Consider the following 743-nt stretch of genomic DNA (forward strand, 5'->3'; position numbering starts at 1 on the left):
AGGGTGGGGCAGAGGATATGCCAGCCCTGCAATTTCCCAGAGAAACAACCATATACTTGTTGTAGTGCCGGTTCAGAACCATGGACAGTGACAGACAACACACCTCCCCCTGCCCCCCTCCCCCAACCCTCACCCGCAAACCCCTCGCCAAAAAATAAAATCAATGAAGCCTTGCTTTACTAGAGAGTTGGAGAATCGAAACAGCCAATACTGCTGATTAATTATGGAGGAAGGGGATTGTAGGACATTCTCTATTCAAAATGTATTGAGAAGTTTATCTCCTGTGTCTGGTTGTGTTGACTGCACAGGAGTGCTTGCTCTGTACTGAGCCCAGGTTCATGCAGCTACTAATACTAGACTTTGGATTCTGATCCATGTCCATCTGACTACAAAACCTCTGCTCTTAACCACAATATGGAGGTTCTATGTCTGAGCTGGAGCCTCTTAACATGAAGGAGTCAGCATCACTAAACTGGGGGGTCCCCATTGTGGAAATTTCTCAGATTTTGACCTTGTCTCACCATATATTCTTGTGTGCTCTACACCAACCCTGAAAAATTATCTCACAGGAAGAAAAACGACTACACAAGAAGAATTTAAAAGAAGCACATCATTTTAGAAGGAAAGAAAAAACTCCACCCAAAACACAGCTATTTTTCACCTCTGCATATTATCTTGCAGCCCTTGTTGACACACTGACATATTTTCCATCATTGCAATCAAAGCAATTGTAGTATTTTCAC

At 43.2% G+C, this 743-nt stretch overlaps 1 annotated feature.

The window, feature by feature from the left end:
* Positions 1 to 201: a silencer, noted in NCBI's record as "peak180 fragment used in MPRA reporter construct". NCBI's record gives its function as "represses an SCP1 promoter by STARR-seq MPRAs in K562 erythroleukemia cells {active_cell/tissue: K562}" and the evidence as "EXISTENCE:reporter gene assay evidence [ECO:0000049][PMID:32103011]".

The sequence above is a fragment of the Homo sapiens genome, chromosome 1, assembly GCF_000001405.40.
Source record: "Homo sapiens chromosome 1, GRCh38.p14 Primary Assembly".
In the NCBI taxonomy this organism is placed as follows: domain Eukaryota; kingdom Metazoa; phylum Chordata; class Mammalia; order Primates; family Hominidae; genus Homo; species Homo sapiens.